This window comes from Homo sapiens, chromosome 2, assembly GCF_000001405.40.
Source record: "Homo sapiens chromosome 2, GRCh38.p14 Primary Assembly".
NCBI lineage: Eukaryota > Metazoa > Chordata > Mammalia > Primates > Hominidae > Homo > Homo sapiens.
The window spans coordinates 39510270-39530654 of NC_000002.12; the positions used below are offsets into that span (position 1 = coordinate 39510270).

The 20385-nt window shown below is 43.2% G+C and overlaps 1 long non-coding RNA gene across 1 annotated transcript in view, besides 6 other annotated features; it reads left to right on the plus strand.

The window, feature by feature from the left end:
• MAP4K3-DT (MAP4K3 divergent transcript) overlaps nt 1-20385 on the plus strand; it is a 163929-nt gene that overhangs the window by 72854 nt on the left and 70690 nt on the right. Inside the window, exons 4-5 of the long non-coding RNA NR_037875.1 lie at nt 6145-6272; nt 8314-8441. This is a non-coding gene — a long non-coding RNA (MAP4K3 divergent transcript). The remainder of the gene's footprint in view (nt 1-6144; nt 6273-8313; nt 8442-20385) is intronic.
• Nucleotides 1839-2133: an enhancer, noted in NCBI's record as "tiled region #10578; HepG2 Activating DNase matched - State 5:Enh". NCBI's record gives its function as "activates a minimal TATA promoter and a strong SV40 promoter by Sharpr-MPRA in HepG2 cells {active_cell/tissue: HepG2}" and the evidence as "EXISTENCE:reporter gene assay evidence [ECO:0000049][PMID:27701403]".
• Nucleotides 5057-5277: a silencer, noted in NCBI's record as "fragment chr2:39742467-39742687 (GRCh37/hg19 assembly coordinates)". NCBI's record gives its function as "represses an EF-1alpha promoter that drives an FKBP-Casp9 reporter gene in an ReSE screen in K562 erythroleukemia cells {active_cell/tissue: K562}" and the evidence as "EXISTENCE:reporter gene assay evidence [ECO:0000049][PMID:32094911]".
• Nucleotides 5366-5958: an enhancer, noted in NCBI's record as "H3K27ac hESC enhancer chr2:39742776-39743368 (GRCh37/hg19 assembly coordinates)". NCBI's record gives its function as "activates a minimal SCP1, AML or CMV promoter by ChIP-STARR-seq in naive H9 embryonic stem cells {active_cell/tissue: H9 hESC(naive)}" and the evidence as "EXISTENCE:reporter gene assay evidence [ECO:0000049][PMID:30033119]".
• Nucleotides 5959-6550: an enhancer, noted in NCBI's record as "OCT4-NANOG-H3K27ac hESC enhancer chr2:39743369-39743960 (GRCh37/hg19 assembly coordinates)". NCBI's record gives its function as "activates a minimal SCP1, AML or CMV promoter by ChIP-STARR-seq in naive H9 embryonic stem cells {active_cell/tissue: H9 hESC(naive)}" and the evidence as "EXISTENCE:reporter gene assay evidence [ECO:0000049][PMID:30033119]".
• Nucleotides 6551-7143: an enhancer, noted in NCBI's record as "OCT4-NANOG-H3K27ac-H3K4me1 hESC enhancer chr2:39743961-39744553 (GRCh37/hg19 assembly coordinates)". NCBI's record gives its function as "activates a minimal SCP1, AML or CMV promoter by ChIP-STARR-seq in primed H9 embryonic stem cells {active_cell/tissue: H9 hESC(primed)}" and the evidence as "EXISTENCE:reporter gene assay evidence [ECO:0000049][PMID:30033119]".
• Nucleotides 17041-17100: an enhancer, noted in NCBI's record as "active region_15618". NCBI's record gives its function as "activates an Ori minimal core promoter by ATAC-STARR-seq in GM12878 lymphoblastoid cells {active_cell/tissue: GM12878}" and the evidence as "EXISTENCE:reporter gene assay evidence [ECO:0000049][PMID:35858748]".

Consider the following 20385-nt stretch of genomic DNA (forward strand, 5'->3'; position numbering starts at 1 on the left):
CGCCTCAGTACACGGCCTCTTCCTCCCATGCAAAAACTCTCAGTCACAGGCAGGATGTACTGGGAGCTGTTTAACAACTGGCTCTCCAGAAAAAAAACAGAAAGCTCTGATTTGCAGCATTTTCCAATTTCTAAGGCATAAACACTCCCATCGCGGCTGATTGTAAATTACTGAACACAGAGTTGGGAGGTGGTATAAACTGGCCCCTGCTCACCACTGGGAATAAGTGGAAGAAAGCAAGGGGGGAAATAAATGGTGGAAAGACACTGTAGAGGGGTTTAAGACCTTCCCAGAAGTGAGGGAAAGGAAATCAACGTAGTGATGACCTGGAGTCATTCCTTTAACTTCAGTTACTATGATTCGGAAACATTGGTTATCTGCCTCTTCACGTCAAATGGGACTCTGCAGAGGCTTGCCTTGCTTCTTTGGCTCCGTGTGGCATATTTGGCCATCTTATTCAATCTATGGCCTCTTAGCTTCAATGTTCCTGAGAATGTCCTTATATTGTGGCTTTTTTTTTTTTTTTTTTTTTTTTTAGATGGAGTTTCGCTCTTTGTTGCCCAGGCTGGAGTGCAATGGCACAAACTCAGCTCACCACAACCTCCACCTCCCAGGTTCAAGTGATTCTCCTGCTTCAGCCTCCCGAGTAGCTGGGATTACAGGCATGCGCCACCATGCCTGGCTAATTTTGTATTTTTAATGGAGACAGGGTTTCTCCACGTTGGTCAGGCTGGTCTCAAACTCCTGACCTCAGGTGATCCGCCCGCCTCAGCCTCCCAAAGTGCTGGGATTACAGGCGTGAGCCACCATGTCTGGCCTACATTGTGGCTTTAAAAGAGTCAGAAACTCAGCTGGAGAAAAGGTTTTAGGACAGCAAGAGTGCCTTGTATTGTGTTGTGATAGAAACCTCTTCCATAAACATTATCTAGGCCCTGGAATGCCCACACCCACCTTTCATGGGCATGTCACACCCCTTCTTCCCTGCCTGAATGCTCCTGACCCCCATCTGGCCTCCTCAGGTGTTAGACACCCTGCTTCGCTGGCCACAATTCAAGCCCTCACCTGGTTTCCTTGGACTTCATCTGAGAGCTACCTGTCTTTCCTGAGAGAGCTCCAGCTGGCACAGAACCCCTTCCCTTGGGGATACTGGCAAATACATATCCAACTTGCCATAGGCACTGGCAGGAAGCTCAGACCTGTCCTCCTGCCCACAAGCACTGCCTTGAAGGCTCATGCTGGCTCTCTGAGCGCCTGATCCAGTGGCCTGGGTCCTCTGGTCACCTCCCAAGCTGCAGACCATTGATTTCGTTTGCAGCTCTGGGCCAGCGGAACCCCCCGTTCTCATCCTTCCCAACAAAGCACACACTTGAATTTCCCATAACTGCTCTGGTTGCTCACTTTTTGCTTTTTCTTGGAAAGCATCCAGGACGGGAATCTAGCTTAGTACAAAGAGCCTAAATTAATGCTTCTTAGCCTGCACAAAAAAATAATTTTTTGTTATCTTCTCTTTGTTGTCTAATCTGATCCAAGGTGACTTGCAGGAAAGAAATGCTTCCACTAGCAAGTTAAAAGTGTTCATTTTTGCAATCCTAATAGCTGTTTGAAATATAACAGCTTGTTTAGTCCTCTCCCCAGATGAATGTACCTTCATCTTTAGATTTATGATTTGGTTTTTATCTCTTCTGAAAATAGAGACAGATGTACTGGAAGTTCCCTTATCTCTGCCTCTCAGAACTGGGGCCTCTTTTCTGAGTTTTACTTGTCTTCTAGACACCCAAAGCAGCCACTAGTTAGGTTTATTCTTCTTAATTCTCATTTTCTCTCCATATGTTTTCTTCTCTGAGCCCATAAACACATCACCACTCTTCTTTACAAAGGCAGGGCCCCTTACATGATTTAGAACATTCTACATACTGACAGAGCCCTCCAGGTGGCTCAGCTAACTCACCACAGCTTTTATGTCTTTCCAGGTTAGGGAAGGCATTAGGGCCAGAGGTCAGCATGCCCTTCCTGCCAACAGACAGCCTTGCTCCACCCCACTGAGTGTTCTGTTTGGAGTGAAGGCCAAAGGTCTCTGGACTAAAAAAAAATGCCTTTAATTCAAGCCCAAGTTATAAAAGAAAGAATTCCAGCTTCTGCTGTCAGGCCTGCGAGGCTGGCCAAGCTGGAGCATCCTTGACCTTTCTTTTTTCCTTCAGCCGTCCAATGAATTTGTGTCCAATTCGTCCTCCAACCCTCCACAGACAGTTGCATTCTATGATGCCTCTGGTGATTTGGAAGGCGGCCGAGCTAGGCACAAAAATAGGAGCGCCTGAGGCGAGAGATTCTTCCAAGGTTCTTGGTTGTCAGAAAGATGAACATCACCACATGGTTCTAAAAGAAGAGATGAAAGGGATTAACATTGTAAGCAGTTGTGAGATTAGACTCTCCAAGTCACTAGGCTCCAGATGAAGCAGGAGGCATAGCAGAGAAAATCCTGTGCTGGTATCGGTAAAATTATGAGCAAGGTTTTAGAGGATTCATCAGAGGAAGGCTAAGTTGAATGGGCACTAATGAGCTGATGACTCAAATCTAGGAAGGAATAAGATCATAACAACCAAAGCTCTGCATGAAGGTGGGTGCTGTATAATTGTCACATCTACTAGAGACAGGCACTGGTCCCCAAGATGAGACTGGCTGGCCCCTTACCCAGTGAACAAGTTATCAAATACTTAACTAAAATAAGAACTGTGAATATGCCCAGAAGGATTCTTTGCGCATGCACTTAAATATGTTACTCTCCCTATCTTTTATTAAGGCCCTTGTTTGGAGAAGGGACTGAACTAGATGTGCGCATGTCTTAAAAATGCTTACGAATCTTGAGCCTGGTATAACGTAAACACTCAGAAAACACTTTATTGTTTACAGTATAGTAGGACTCATCCCGTCGTGGGGAGCTATGGCAGTGGCCTTGAAAAGAGTGGGTATTAGTACACAAATGTTCAGAATGTCCCACAGTACTACATAGTGCCCAGTTCATGGATGAGCTGCCACTCTGCTGGGACAGGCTTCATCTGTTTATTTCAAATGTATAAATGTTGGGTGTTCTCTTGGTCTTAAAAGGGGTTAGATGTAGCACAGGGCATTTATATTGTCATGAAATCAGTCTGAGAGTGTTGGATGGGGGCATTAATATATGAAATCAGGGAAATAGCTTTTCCCTCATCCTCTTCATCTCCAAGAATATCTTTCTGAGATATTCTCTATTGTTCTGCCCAGTGCAGTTAGGTCTTACTTAGTTTGCCTTGTAAGGTCATTTCAGATTTTAATCGCTCTCCCCATAGGAAGTTTTTCCTGCTGTTCTGCCTGAGTTGCCTTCTGCTTAGTTTTAGTCCATTATGTCTGTAAAGAGAGGGAGGGTTTTATGGGGCAAAAGGCCCAATCATCGTGGGAAGAATGAATCATTCCAAGAACAGTGAGATGGGCTGGAAAGAGAAGGCAGCGAAGGGGCAGGAAGTTGTGGGTGGAATGGGTTACTGAGAACAGCACCAAAACAGTCTGTCTTCTCTCTCCATTACTCCCACTAGGGGGTGCCCAGCATCCCAGAATAATCACTATTGTTAGGAAGTTGAAGTTTGATGTGTCATCTCCTAATAGAAGGGCACTGGTTTCTCCCTGAGGGTTTTCTATATCTCTGCCCTGAGTTGAGAAGAGATCTCTGTGTGTGTATGTGTATGTGTATTGTGTGTGCATATTTGTTTGTGTGTATGTGCTTGTGTATGTGTGGGTTAGAATCAGTAAGTGCACAAATGCCTCTTAAGCATTCATTTAGAGATTCTCAATTCATGGAAATCCTTAGGGATACACTGAGTTTTCCAGGACCCAGCTGACTTGATCTTGAAGTCAGTGGCTGGAGTAGTTGTGGGCCAGAAACATCCTCCTCAGCCCAGGAGAAGTGGCAGCTGATGTATTTTAATTACTGGGAGTCAAGAAGTTGTAGGGATAAGAAATGAGTTCAGCTGAGCGATCAGCTGGAGGTCAGGGATGGAGGAAAGACCCAGGGTGTGTGAGATTCTGAAGTAGAGTGGTGAACAGGTGTGGGATGGATGTCAGGGAGAGGTGAGGGTATCTGGAGGGTTTCCAAACAGCCAGGCCTTCAGGATGGCCACAGCAAAACTTCCAGTTCTGAATGGTTTTGTGGAAAGAACATGGCACCTGGATCTTGGAAGACATGAACTGAAATTTCAGTTCAAGCATTCTATAGCCATGAGACCTGGGGGAATTGGGGCAAGTTATTTCACATCTTTGATCTTCAATTCTCTCATCTTCAAAAGGAGACTAATGATACTAGGGTTAAGTGAGAATTTAAAAAATAATGCATATAATGCACTACATAAATAGAATCTTCTTCCTTTCCCTTTCTCCTACTTGGAAATGGCTGAGAGCAAAGATGCAGTTCTTGCATCCCATGACCACAGAGTTCTAGGACTGCAGCCCTGGGCAAGAGGTTCCACCTTGGCTGCTGGAGTTTTCTGCAACGAAGAACTTCAGTGAGTGTTCAGGGCATGCCTGCAGAACCCTGGTCCTTCTGTTTGGACCAGTGCTCCAAATCTGTAGGCCTTTGGGCCGTAATTTAGAAGCTATTTCTAAATTTTTGAAGGTCTTCTGTCTAGTCCTGAGGCCTTTAGTCTCAGAGAATTAAATTGTCTTACCCAGGGTCGGTCATACAGACTGCCAAAGCCTGGCCTGGCATCCAGGTGCAATGTTCATCTGTGTTACCAGTTCCTCCATGCTAACCTGACAATGACTCACAATTCCTTATAGCACAGTGTTCCAAAGTCTGAGCCACAGACCACCTGTACTAGTAGCAGCCGGTGGGCTTGATAAAAATGCAGATTCCTGGCTCCCTGACAGTCCCGTGCTATCAGATTCTGTAAAGTTTAAAAGTAATGATTTATAAATTTCCCAGACCCGGGTTATACTTTTATATGGAAACATAATGCCTGAATCTGACAGAGCGCTTTTTCATGGAGGAAAGTTGGGACTCTTGGGCAGACTTCCTGTTGCTTTCGTACTCTACAGGTGTTCCTGACCCTGGTATGTATACAGCCATCTCCGCCCTACCTACTTACTTCCTTCCCCCAGAACTTCCTAAAGTGGTTAGGAACAATTGTTGTGAAGGTCACAGCAGACCATTTCTGTGAATGCGAGATGTGTTGGTGCAATTTGAAAAGGTCAATTTGATTGACGCCTGAGCCACAGTGATAACCCAAGGCAGCAGCCCTGTCACTGCTAGCTCCCAACAGTGGTGGCATCTGCAGCCTCGAGCAAAGAGATTGTTTAAACTGATGGAGGGGAAGCTTTAGTTCTTATTTCTGGGAGATTGAGTGGCACCAGGAGAAAGGCTGATCACTAGTTGCAACTTCCTCTGTATTTACAATAGCGTTTGCTGCTAGTTTAGCTGTGTTTAGACTAAAGGTGGGGGCAAAAATTACCCTTCCTCTAAAGCTATGAACCCTGACCTCTCAGTCTAGAGAGAGATGGACTCTGGATATGTGGACAGGCTCTGCGAGATTCTTCCTGACAAGGGCTGTATGAGCCGGCTTTCAGAAGGAACTTATTCATGACGGTGGATCACTATTCAGAGAGACACACTCTTTCTCAAAGAAATGACAGGGGCAGCAGGGACCACATTAAGTTTTGATAGGGTCCTGCAGCTGTTGGGGCAAAAGGGTCTGCCTTGGCCTCTGGGGGTCTCTGCACTGCAGAACTGCAGTGGATGTACAGGGATTGCCGGGGGTTGCAGAAGGATTTTGCGATATGCATTCATGTCAGCTTCAAAGTGCCCAAAATGAGCGTGAAAATGCTGTCAGAAAGGCAGTTATTGCTACCTGAAGTCCCTGTTGGAACAAAGTGCAAATTAAATACTGGTAAAAGAAAACAAAGCAGATCATTGTTGTGTAGCAAATGTCACTGTCCTGTGTACCTATCTGGCCTACTGGCTGACTCCAGGAGGTGGGAGGTGCGACTGCATGGAGCCACGTTCGGCCTCCTACCTTCAAAGCTGGTTACATCTCTGAATGGGGAGCTGGTGAGAAAGAGCTCTCCTTGATAAAACATCATTTTTGCCCTTCCCAATCTATTCTTTCCTTTTCTGTTTTCTAGGAAGAAGAGGATTTATCTGACTCAACTGGAGATGGCTCCCTTCCCTTATTTATTGTTGCATCCTGAAGCTTCCCCCATGCTGGGCTCAGTGTGAACAAACAGCGCGGGAGAATGCAACCACTGCAGAGGTACAAGTTCACAGAGGCAGAGCCGCCCCTCGACTGGGCCAGAGGCAAAGACAAACCCCAAACTCTTTCTTGTCATTCATTGAATTTTGCTGAACCTGGAAAGGAAATAAATTCCAAAGGCAGGAAGTGACCCAGAGACCATAACAATATGTGAAAAGCTTAGCCGGTGCTTCCGCCCCTTTGTTTCAAACTATTCTAATCTGTGTCCCAGGAAGCCTAGCCCATGGCCAGATGGAGATCTGTTTGCAGATGCCTCCTGGCATCTGCCACTCCCGGCTGGTGACATTTGCACATTTCAGAAGGCAAACCTGTCCCAACATCTTCAAACTTCCAGAGAGGTGTAGCACCAGGAAAGTCCTTGGGTCTCTGGCTGTCAGCACCAACCAGCTGATTTGCTTCATCTGCAGCTGAACTGCTGCTGGACTCCAGCCTAGAACACTAGTGCACACCGGGTCTGTTCTTGAAGATTTGCAGATTCTGAAATCAAAATGCCCTGTGTTGCCAGAAAAGGCTGGCTCCCTTGCCTGCTTCATAATCCCTTCTCACCAGGCTTTCCTAAAGAAACTCAATGAGTCAGGAAGGAAGAAAACATGTCTGAGGGAGATCTGGAGGTGGGCCGTTCTCTATCATTGCTTCTGAAAATTCCCTTCTGTTTTGCAATGTGGGTAATGTTTAGGGATTTGCTTTTAGTTTTTCTCTGTTTCTTCCTCTGTCAGCTCTCACTTTGAGAGACCCTTCATTTACCACTCATGAAATTAGCTCTGCAATCGCAGGAGGCTCTCTGATGGGGAATTAGTCACTGTTGCAAAAAAGTTTAGACTTTACTTTCATCCCCAGGAGCAGGGCAAGAAATTGTTCCCACCCTGCTCTCAGAAGGAACCATCACTCAACTGCTCTGCTCTGCTCTGGCTCTGGGGCCTGTACTTTTCCTAGGCTTTTAATTTTTACTGCGTACCTTCCATCAGCCTTCTTACTGAAGGCTGTATGCCAGCTGATGTCTATGCACAGCAAGGTGGCTTCTGGGACACCTGCTTCAAACAGGTATCCAGCTAACTGCTCCCCACCAAACCCCACCAGGTAATTGGAAAGGAACTTGGAGTTGAGTGAATACCTGTTTCAAAATGTTAAGTAGATCAAAGTGTAAAGAATCCAATATATTTGTTGACAACTGATTTATAGAAAACCCCAGCAAGAAAGAAGGGAGAGGTTCAGCCTCAGGCTGGTGAAAATGAGATCGTGGGTAGGGCACCACTGTACAGCATTCTGGCATCAGACCTCTGTCCTAAGGTGCGAAGTCACTCTGTGCTACTATCTGAAATTGTGTTCTGTTTATTATGAAAGAGGTTTTCAAAAGTGTTTTGATAAGCTTGGATTTATCTCTGGAAAGGCAATATGGTCTCCATTACAAGACAGGAGCTTAATATCAGAGACAGGTTGTATCAATGTATGTAGCTGCTAGTAAATAGTAGATAAAAGAAGCTTCAGAAAGGTCGGGGGAGGGAGTCTTTTCTTGTTAGGAAGGAACAATCTTGCAGGGGATGTGAGAGATTTTCTCTTTCTCCTTTCCTCTGCCTATGGAAAATCAAACAGGAGAAAGCTAGAAATATGAGACAGAGAGAAGTAATTTCTCCAACTATTGACACTGGCCAAACAAGATAAATAGTTCATATTCTGATGATGATGACAACAGTTATGATGAGAAGATATTGACCCAGAGGAAGAAAACAAAGGCTTTTGATTTCAAGTTGTGTGTAAGCCCCAAAGAATTGTTGTCAGAGTCACTTTTATGATCTATGGGACTTTTGGCTACAATTATAAGAATTTAGCGTGAGTGAAATAAATATAATTGGTCAGAAAAATCAGTATTAGATTAAGACACGATTGAAAATGGTTAACCATTAGTAAGAAGTATACCAAATTACACGTATTTTTGTGCTTCTTTCAGTCTTGATCTAATTATCTGTTAAAAAGTAACATAGTTAAGAACTGTATTCTGGTTTAAATATAACACAAAGCAAAATATTTTATTGTGCTCTCTTAGGCATATGTTTGAGATACCTGGCCACTGGAGGTCATCTCGTCTACTATATTCACCGCAGATAAAGAATGAAAAGAGAATACACAACCTTGTGATTGCTAGCAGTGAAAGCTCAGAGTTATGACATAACAGTAAGTGTTATATTCTACATAACCTTAGGTTTAACAGAGGTAGTTACTAGATACTTAAAGAACATGCTTTTATTTTGCACAAGAGAAAATGGAATTAAAAATGGGAAAAGAATAGAGTCATGACTCCCAAACTGTGTCCTAGGCACCCAAGACTTTGCAGCAAACTTAGAGGGGGGCTGTGGCATAGTTTAAATATCAAGGAAGTATAGTGGCACTTGACATCTGTTGGATATCAACTGAACTATTAGCTCAAGGTAGTTCATTGTTCCAACATTAGATTGCGCTACATTTCTTCCAAAAATGTCCTGTCTTTGGGAAGCTGAGTTTTCAGCAGTTGTTGTAAAATGCAAGTACCCAGAGAAAATCAGTGTGGAATAGGAGGTGAAGGTGCTTGTGTCCACATGGGTTCCAAGATTTGGGAAGATATTTGGTGCCCAATTGGCATACACATCCCTTTTTCTTTTTTTTGGATGGAGTCTCACTCTGTTGCCAGGTTGGAGTAGAGTGGCGCGATCTCAGCTCACTGCAACCTCCACCTCCTGGGTTCAAGCAATTCTCCTGCCTCAGCCTCCCAAGTAGCTGGGACTACGGGTGCACGCCACCATGCCCAGCTAATTTTTGTATTTTTAGTAGAGACGGGGTTTCACTATGTTGGCCAGGATGGTCTCAATCTCTTGACCTTGGGCACACACATCCTTTTAAAAGTAACTGAGTATTTAAGAATGAAATAAATTTTTTTCTTTCGATTTATGTGTATAATTTTTTTCAAACAACTAAGTTGTTGGGACTTAACTACTGGATAAATGGAATTTTGGGTAGGTATTTCTTTTTGCCTAGGGACTCTGTGAAAAAATTACAGGGATACAAAATGCTGTGACATGAGACAGTTTGGGAACTCTGAATTAGAGCAATACAAAGGTAGATTTTAATGGTTCAGGCTCATTGGTCAGAATTAGAAAGTGGTTAGATCCTCCTCTCCCCACACCAGCCAGGACACTGCTCCCAGGATTTTTCCCTGTTCCCATATGAAATAAGCAATCTTAGTCTAAATTTTTAAATTAATACAACCATTTGGTAGACTATTAAAAGTTATATGACACAAAGCTTCTCAAAATATCTCCAATGCAGGACTTTTTTTTTTCTTTTTAATTTTTTAATCTGTCATGGACTACATGATGGTTAATTTTATGCACCAACTTATCTGGACTACAGTGCCCAGATATTTGGTCAAATGTTATTCTGGATATTTCTGTGAAGGTGGTTTTTGGATGAGATTCATGTTTAAATCAGTAGACTTTGAGTAAAGCTGATTATGATTCATAATGTGGATGGGCCTCATCTAATCAGTTGAAGGCCTTAAGAGAACAGAGACTGACCTCCTCTGAGCAAGAAGGAATTCTATCAGTAGTCTGCCTTTGAACTCTGCATCTCTTCCCTGAATCTCCAGCCTGCTGGTCTACCCCATCCGATTTCTTTGGATTTTGGTTCCACAATTACATGAGCCAATTCCTTAAAATAAATCCCTATCTATACATATACACACACACACATATCCTGTTGGCTCTGTTTCTCTGGAGAATCCTAATACAGACTGATGCTTTAAAAAAATGTGATAAAAATGAACTTCTAGGAAAAGAATCATATGCTTAAATATTTCAGAAATGTCAAATTGTTATAAAGTTTCTAAATGCTTGCTTCCATTTTCTATATTTAGCTTTAGCTTGTCTATGATTGGTAATAAAAGGTTTGTGGAACACACTTTAAGTAGCACTGATCTCATAAAAATGGAAATATATGCATATACCTATCTATATTTATATCTATGTACATACATTTATTTACTTTTAACTTGAAACTAATTTTAAATTGATAGAAAAGTTGCAAAACTAGTACAGAGTATTCCCATATATTGCCTTCCTCAAGTTCCCCAGTTTTAATATCTGTATAACTATAGTATAATTTTCAAAACTAAGAAACTTAACGTTAGTATAATACTATTAACTAAACTAAAATCCTGTATTAATCTGTTCTCACATTGCTATAAAGAACTACCTGAGACTAGGTATAAAGGAAAGAGGTTTAATTGATTCACAGTTCTGCATGCTATATAGGAAGCATGGCTGGGGAGGCCTCAGGAAACTTAACAATCATGTCAGAAGGTGAAGGGGAAGCAGGCACATCTTACATGGCTGGAGAAGGGGGGGAAGAAAGAGTGGAGGGGGAGGTGCTACACACTTTTAAACAAACAGATCTTGTGAGAACTCACTCACTATTATGAGAATGGCAAGGGGGAAGTCTGTCCCCATGATCTAATCACCCTCCCACAAGACCCCTCCTCCAACATCGGGAATTACAATTTGACATGAGATTTGGGTGAGGACTCAAATCCAAACCATATCATTCCACCCCTGTCAATCCCAAATCTCATGTCTTTCTCAGATTTCAAAACACAATCATCCCTTCTCAACAGTCCCCCCTAAATCTTAACTCATTTCAGCATTAAGTCAAAAGTCCACAGCCCAAAGTCTCATCTGAGGCAAGGCAAGTCCCTTTTGCCCATGAGCCTGTAAAATTAAAAAGAAAAAGTTAGTTACTTCCAAGATACAATGGGAGTATAGGCATTGGGTAAATACACCCACTCTAAAAGTAGAACTCAGCCGGAACAAAGGGGCTACAGGTCCCATGCAAGTCCAAAACCCAGCAGGGCAGTTATTAAAGCTCCAAAATGATCTCTTTTGACTCCATGTCTCATATCTAGGCCACATTGATGCAAGGGGTGAGCTTCCAAGGCCTTGGGCAGCTCTGCCTCTGAGGCTCTGCAGGATACAGCCCCTTTGTCTGACTTCCTGGGCTGGCATTGAGTGCCTGTGGGTTTTCCAGGCACATGGTGCAAGCTGTTGGTAGATCTACCATTCTGGGATCTGGAGGACAGTTACCCTCTTTTCACAGTTCCAGTAGGCAGTGCCCCAGTGGGGACTCTGTGTTGGGGCTCCAACCCTACATTTCCCTCCTGAACTGCTCTAGTAGAGATTCTTCATGAGGGCTCTGCCCCTGTGACATACTTTTGCCTGGACATCCAGGTCTTTCCGTGCATCCTCTGAAATCTAGGCAGAGGCTTCCGAGCCTCAACTCTTACCCTCTCTGCACCTGCAGGCTTAATACCACATGGAAGCTGCCTAGGCTTATGGCTTGTACCCTCTGGAGCAGTGGCCTGAGACATATCTTGGGCCCTTTTAGCCATGGCTAGAGCTGGAGTGGCTGAGACACATGGAGCAGTGTCCTGAGATTGCTCAGGGTTTGAGCAACTTTGTTCAACCAAGGTTACTCAAACTTTTCTGGGCCAGGTCCAGAAAACCATTCTTCCCTCCTAGACCTCTGGGCCTGTTATGGGAGGGGCTGCCACAAAGGTCTCTGAAATGCCTTCTAGGCATTTTTCCCATTGTTTTGGCTGTTAACATTCGGCTCCTTTTTACTTATGCAAGTTTCTGCAGCTGGCTTGAATTCCTACATAGAAAAATGGGTTTTTCTTTTCTACCACATGGCTGGGCTGCAAATTTTCCAAACTTTTATGCTCTGCTTCCCTTTGAAATATAAATTCCACCAACCTCTTTGCTAATGTGTAACAAAAGTGACCTTTGCTCCATTTCCCAGTAAGTTCCTCATCTGCATCTGAAACCACCTCAGCCTGGACTTTATTGTTCATATCGCTATCAACGTTTCAGTCACAACAATTCAACAAGTCTCTAGGAAGTTCCAAACTTTCCCTGATCTTCTGGTCTTCGTCTGAGCCCTCCAAACTGTTTCAACCTCTGCCCATTACCCAGTTCCAAAGTCACTTCCACATTTTCAGGTATCTTTATAACAATATCCCACTCTTTTTCTGTATTAGTCCATTCTTGCATTGCTATAAAGAACTACCTGAGTCTGGGTAAAGAAGCTTAATTGACTCACAGTTCTGCAGGCTGTACAGGAAGCATCGCTGTGGAGGCCTTGAGAAACTTTTAATCATGGCAGAAGGTGAAGGGGAAGCAGGCACATCTTACATGGCTGGAGAAGGGGGAAGACAGAGCAAAGTGGGGGTGCTACGTACTTTTAAACAACCAGATCTTGTGAGCACTCATTCACTATCATGAGAACAGCAAGGGGGAGGTCTGTCTCCATTGATCCAGTTACCTGCCACCAAGCCCCTCCTCCAACACTGGGGATTACAATCCAATGTGAGATTTGGGTGAGGACACAAATCCAAATCATATCAGACCCTATTCAGATTTCACCAGATATATCTTAAATAGTGAAGTCACAGCTCTAGGATGTGCAAATTTGGTAGGCACTGGGCTAGAAAATTGTTGCAGAATGAGTTGAACCACTGCTTTGTTTTATTTGTAGATAAGCTAGCTGAAAACTAGAAATGTTTGTCAGTGATTGTGAACTGTTCTATAGAAGAAAATAAAAATCATCAACCTCAATTAAAAACATCTCACACATATTGATTGAGCCAATACCATAGCTACTAAGCATGCCTTTTATTACTGCCAGAAATAACAAATTCTTTTGTATCTGGACACATTACTCCCTTAATGACAGACCGTATAGAAAAGTGATGCTTGGACATGTATCTGAAATGTCATGCATTTTTGGCCAAGCCACTCTTTCTCATCTCTTCTGTGCAGTTTGAGCTTCCACAGGTTGAACCCAGCTCTGGCTTTTTGGGCCCTTTCTGTAGTGACTATGCAGATTTCTATCATGGTACCTGTAACACTTTGTTGCTATAACTGGTGTGGATGCCTGCTAAACTATGAGGAACTCGTGGGCCTGGCTCTGTCTTAGTTGCCCTGGTATTTCAGTGCCTGGCATAATGCCTTAGGCATAGCAGGCAGGAACACATGCTCAATGAAGAAATGAATGAATAAATTTAACATATGATAAGTTCACATTTTTTTTTCCTACTTGATCTCATTGGGAAAAGAGCCTATAACTTTAAATTATTCCAGTGAATAAGACAATGTTGGGTGTGTATTAAAGAGGAAAATCTTTCAAGGGCTTTGTGTTTGAGAAACAGACTTTGAATGCCAGTTGTGACTTAACAGCTGAATGAAGACTATCACTTTTACAAATAGCATACATGTATGGGTGCTGACTCACTTTATTCAGTAGACACAATGTACTCCTTAGGTAATTTGATCCATCTCAGTAAAATCTGCCTTCTACCCAGACTGAATGGTTGTGGTTCGTTATCATTATTATTCAGCATTGCTACAGTTTGTGTTTTCAAAGTACTGTGTTCCCCATTTTTAATGAGCTAGGCAGATGATAGGTAATGAAAGGGGTTTTAGCTAGTCTCACATGTAGCTGGTGTTCAATCAATTTTTGATGACTGCTTAATCACTGAGGTTAATTGGGGACGGGCTGGTGTAAACTCATGGGAAGAAAGGCTCTCCAACTTTTCCATGGACGGAGGAGGTGTGGGAGTGGAGAGAGGAGAAGCTGGGAAAGACTATGAAGATGGAAGAGGGAAGGAAGTAGGAATTCCTTCTGATAGGAGTGGAGCAGGCTTCTGAGTCTCTGACCCACTTCAGCAAACCTCAGGGCCCTCTGGGGCACATCATGTTCATTTGCCCTGTGAAGGAGTAGATTCTTTGGGGTTGGAGCTACTACTTCTTAAGAACAAGTTGTTTAGGGACTACTTTTATAAGTTTTGTGGTCATGTTTTAGCATTCTACTAATGCTTTTCATATCACTGATTCTAAAGCTGAAAAAAAAAAAAAAAACCATGCCAAAACAAATTTATAGGAATTCAGGATATCAAAGCTGAATAATGATTTATTCTCATAGGAGGTATTGCAATTAGGGACAAGAAAACTGTTGATCCTAAGGGTCCCTAGTGGCAGGACAGACTGAATATACAGTTGAGACATGGAGAGAGGGATAATTTAACTTCTCTTCCTTGGAAAATCCATCTCCTCCTTGAAGCCCTGCTCAGTGTCTTGCTCTGGCCCTGTCAACTGAGAGATGAGAAATGTTTTGAGTTTGGGGACTGGGAGTGAGTGTTGTCGGCTTAAAAAAGAATAACGTATTAGATTTGTGTTAAGTGCTCCGTAAACCCTTCCTACCCCCTTTAAAAAATGGTCAGATGATATTTGTATATTTTGGTATTATTGGGCAATGACCACAAATATTTGTCTGGAACACAACTTGGAGAGAAGAAAAGTTGCGAAGACAAAAATATAAGCCCTTGCCAGCCATTGGGTTGGCTGGGGAAGTGTGGAAAAGCTCAGGGAAATGTCCTGCCATACACTCTAATTCCTACGTCATCATGGGCCTGGCAGGCCCAGCTAGCCTGGGGCCATACATGAAGGCCAGTGGAGAGGTAAATTCAGCAGGCTGGAGCTCCCAGCAAAGCAGCAAAGCTGATTTGTCTCATCCTAGGTAGAAGCTTAAATCCAGTTGCCATAGAGTATTTTGAGGATTAAATGAGCTAATGTCTGCAAAAGCAACCTACACAGAGCCTGGCACCCAGAAGATACTCAAACAAAGTAGATTTTCTTCCTTGCTGTGACTTCACAAGGGATTGTGGGTGTCTCAGGACACTGTGTCTCAGTTAATGGCTTTATGCCATGTGGGCATTCTACCTTTTTGAAGACACTGGAAACTTGGACCGAAACCAACTCCAAATTCTTCATTCTGGGTGAGATGAGCCCCAGCTAGAGATGCAGCTCAGTTTCCTCATTTGCAAAATAGAATGGTGTGGGGAAGTTATTTTGTGTCCTTGAATAAGGAAACATGGTTCATATCATTTCCTCAGAGAGTGGCTGGTCTGGATTTCAACTCAGAAGAGGTCTGTGGGAAATCACATGGGGCTGCTGCAATTTCTATTTTGGGCAGAGACCTTATCTCTGAGATATCCGAGCTGGGATTTCTTTAGTGATACCTTACCAACTTCTCACAAATACTTCACTCGGAACCCTAAACCTGGGGAGCACCACGGAGTCTTTGACCCCAACTGCTTCACTCTCCATCAGTATTTGCATAATGTCAACACAGTTCTCACCATTTGTGACCACCTTTTGACCAGGCAATTCTACCTGCCTCATGTCCCTAGCCAAAAGGCTAGTCCCCTTTGTCATCTATTCTTTTTCAGTTCCTTGCCCATGTACTGCACTCTCACTCTCTCATTATGTTTTCATGTTTAATCTCTGCTCCTCAACTGGATTCTGTTTGCCAGATTTAAAGTGTACACAAGGCTCCCACTGGCGGGTGGGGTGGGGGAGTGGAGATAACTCTACCCCAAGCATACCTTCCCCTCAAGCTTTCATATTCTCTTCTCCCCTTTACAGAGACTTCTAGAGAGAACATCTATACTTGTTGACTCTTTTTACTTCCTGCTCACTCCTTAGGTCACTGCCAGGCTGGCTCCTACCTCATGAGCTCGACAAACAGCTTGTGCCAGGGTCACTCACCTTCCTTCACATCTCAGCAGTGGTCAACACTGTTGACTGTCCCTCCTCCTCGAAACACTGTATTTTTTTGTCTTCAGTGACGCAAGGCTCTTTTGTTTACCTTCATCTTCTCTGACTGCTCATTTTCTATCTCTTTTGCAGTCTTATCCTATGCTCCCCGGGTCAATACATATTAAAATACTCAAGGCCCAGTCCTAGATAGTCTTGTCTTTTTTTGTTTGTTTGTTTTGATATGGAGTCTGGCTCTGTCACCCAGGCTGGAGTGCAGGCTCACTGCAATCTCTGCCTCCTGGGTTCAAGCGATTCTCCTGCCTCATCCTCCTGAGTAGCTGGGATTACAGGTGCATGCCACCACGCCTGGCTAATTTTTATATTTTTAGTAGAGATGGGGTTTCACCATGTTGGCTAGGCTGTTCTCAAACTCCTGACCTCAAGTGATCTGCCCACCTCAGCCTCCCAAAGTGCTGGGATTATAGGTGTGAGCCACTGCACTTGGCCGTCTTCTTTTCTTATTCTATACTTCGTTCATGGCAAAAATGTTTCTCCAGCCCAGGTCTCTTCTTTGAGCTTTAGATCCATGTATCCAATTTCCTACCTAATACTTTCATCTGGAAGTTTCACATGCATCTAAAACACAACATAGCCAAAACCAAACTCTTGATTAATCCAAAACCTTTTGCTGTTCCCTATGTCACCCGCATTGTTAAGCAGGCCAGAACTTGGAGTCACCATGACCTTTCCCTCTGCCTTACCCTTCACATTCAATTTTGCTTCCTAAACCTCTTTGAATCTGTACTTTTTTCCCTACTTCCACTCCCACTATCCTAGTCTAAGCTACCTTCACCTCTTCCTGGATAACCTTAAAAGCCTCTTTATTGGTCTATCTGCCACTGTTTTGACCTCCACCTCCCACAATGTATGCTGAGTGAGTTCTTCATCTGATTTTCATGTCTTCCCTGAGATGTTTAAAATGTTTGCATGCCCTCCCATGATTTTAGGATGCAACATTCCTTAACATGACCATAGGCCCTGTACCTAGCCAGCTTTAGATCAAACCATGCTCTGCTTTGCTCTCTTTACTCCAACCACTGTGGCCTTCTTTCACTTCTTTTTTTTTTTTTTTTGAGATGGAGTCTCGCTCTGTCACCCAGGCTGGAGTGCAGTGGTGCGATCTCTGCTCACTGCAAGCTCCGCCTCCCGGGTTCACGCCATTCTCCCGCCTCAGCCTCTGCAGTAACTGGGACTACAGGCGCCTGCCACCACGCCCAGCTAATTTTTTGTATTTTTAGTAGAGACAGGGTTTCACTGTGTTAACCAGGATGGTCTCAATCTCCTGACCTTGTGATCCACCTGCCTCAGCCTCCCAAAGTGCTGGGATTACAGGCGTGAGCCACCGCGCTCGGCCTCTTTCAGTTCTTTTTACCTGCCACGCTTCCTCTCACCAACTGCTCTTTGTCCAGAATGCACTTACTTCTGTAAGTTTCACCCTTTCTTCAAATCTCAGCTCAGTTATGGCTTCCTCAGGGCTGTCTTTCTTGACCTCTCTGACCAGGGCAACTCTCTACCATATGGCCCTGGGTACTTCTCCTTCAGGTGCTGATCACAACTGTCATTTTATGTTTCTTGGTGTCATTTTTTGGTTGAAATATATTTCCCACTGAATATGACTCCATTAGGGCAGGAACTGTGCCTGGTTTCCGGGGCTTAGAACCAGTACAGTGCCTAGTGCATAGTAAGTGCTCAGTAAATGCATTTGTTGAATGAATGAACAAATAAATACATCAATAAGTACAGACGTTTGTTTTCTGTATTCCTTTGGCTCCTTCTTCTTCTTCTTCACCCTACCCTTTGTCCAGGCCTTGGGACTTCAAATCATGGATTTTTTTTTTTTTCTTGAGTCAGAGTCTTTCTCTATCGCCCAGGCTGGAGTGCAGTGGTGCGATCTCAGCTCACTGCGACCTCCGCCTCCCAGGTTCAAGCGATTCTCCTGCCTCAGCCTCCCGAGTAGCTGGGACTACAGGCACCCGCCACCATGCCCGGCTAATTTTTTGTATTTTTAGTAGAGATGGGGTTTCACCATGTTAGCCAGGATGGTCTTGATCTCCTGACCTCGTAATCTGCCCGCCTTAGCCTCCCAAAGTGCTGGGATTACAGGCGTGAGCCACCGCACCTGGCCAAATCATGGATTTGGTTTATATGTCCAGTGCCACCACTGGGCCTGCTTCCTATTCTGGGTAATGAAATGTATGAGATGCTGAGTAGCTTTTGGACACTTCCTTTGTAATATATTTTGCTCTCCTGCAATAATTTTGTTATTATCAGGGTTCTATTCAGGAGTACAGGCTTAGGTAATAAGACAGTGCCACCTGAGGAAGGGTGCTCCTTGACTTAGAACAATAAGATAATGAAATTGGAGGTAACTTTTGGTAATCATTTAGTCTAGTTTCTCAAGCAAGGCAGAGATTCTTTATGTACCACTTCTGACAGATGATAATAATGTTTATTGAGCATAGTCCAGTTATTGTCTTAAGGATATTGATACAGATGAATCCTTTTAATCCTTAGCGACCATATGGACAAATACAGTTACTATCATGCCCTTTTTATAGCTGACGAAATAGTGGAATGCCTCATCTAAGACCATGCCTCGTCTAAGTCAGTAGCATAGCCAAGGTGCAAGCCCAGGCAGTTTGGCAGAGCCAGAGATTTTCACTGCTATGCTATGCTATGCTGTGCTGTGCTGTGCTGTGCTGTGCTGTGCTGTGCTGTGCTGTGCTGTGCTGTGCTATGCTATGCTATGCTATGCTATGCTATGCTATGCTATGATATGCCACTTCTGTAGTTAGCCAACGGTTATGTAAACACTTCCAGGGATGGGAACCCACTCGATGGTGAGCTGAGTACTTAGGCTAAAATTGTCTCCTATAACTTCAAGCCGTTTTCCCTAGTTTCAGCCTCTAAAACTATATGAAATAGCCTGCTCCAATGTCCATAGGACAGTTATTAAAATAGGACAGTTATTAAAATACTTTCAAATTCTAAGAGTAGTTTTTCTGTTCATAAAAATAACATATGTGAAAATTTGGAAAATCCAGAAAAGTATAAAGAAGATAAGAACCCTTGATAAACTGGGAGAAAATAAGTATTAACTGCCAAGAGTCTATTAGCTTTTTGTTATAATTTTTAACATTCATATTTCATTAATGGCCCATATAAAATCTGTGGCCTACCAAAACACCTAGTTCTCTGTCAGATGACCTTCCATCAAGCCAGATTTTGTCTCTATATAAAATTCTCTCTCTCTGTCTTTTTGTTTGAGACAGAGTCTTACAGGCTGAGTGGTCTTTAAATCATGGATTTGGTTTATACATCCTGATACAAAGACAGAGTCTTATAGACAGGGTCTTACAGTCTTACAGGCTGGAGTGCAGTGGTGCAATCTTGGCTCACTGCAACCTTCATCCCCCAGGTTCATGCAATTCTCCTGCCTCCTGAGTAACTGGGACTACAGGCGTGCACCACTATGCCTGGCTAATTTTTGTATTTTTAATAGAGATGGGGTTTTGCAATGTTGGCCAGGCTGGTCTCGAACTCTTTGCCTCAAGTGATCTGCCTTCCTCGGCCTCCCAAAGTGCTGGATTTACAGGTGTGCACCACTGTGACCAACCATAAAATTCTTAATGTAAAATTTTACACTTATCCCTTTTAAATTATATTTATTTGTTTGTTTTGATTCTTCTGTCTTACTGAAAACTTTTCTAATCCAGATTCTGCTTTCTAATGTTAGCCTTCCAGCTTCCAAGATACTATGTGATCTTGATAACAGGGCTTTTCAAACCTTTCCCCCAGGCATTGCTAAAATGCTAAGCCCTGTGACACATACTAGGAACCTCCCTGTAGGTTCACATGGGTCTATTCGTCAGCCATTAATTTGGCCACTGAAGAAAATACAAATCTGTATAACTGCATTTTCACTGAGCACATATATATTTTTTTCACCTTTTCTATGATGATTTCATGACTTAATGAAATATGTCACCAAAATTGGGTATGTTTCATCTATGGAATTTCTCAACTTTACTGGTATAGTAAGTCTTTTTAAAAATAGGATATCGTTTTCTTAGTTAGCTTACACTAACTCTGAATAATCACTTCTTAATTTCTAAGTGTTCACAAATCATTATCTAAATATTAATACTTCATTCTAGAACTTTCCTGGAAATCATACCAATCTGTTACTTCAACTCTTCACTGCAGTTGAAATAGCTATGTGCAGACATACTGGCCCTGACTCACATTTAATGGGGCTGAAGAAATGATCCCGTGGGTATTCTTTCTCCTTCAGGAGATCAGCTTCCTGTCAACATACAGGAAACTGAAAAGCTGCAGTCTAATAATATAGCCACTGACAGGAAGATTGTTGTTTAGATTGCCTTTCCAGATTTCTCAATTGAATAATGCTGGTGAAGGATGACTGCTTATTTTAT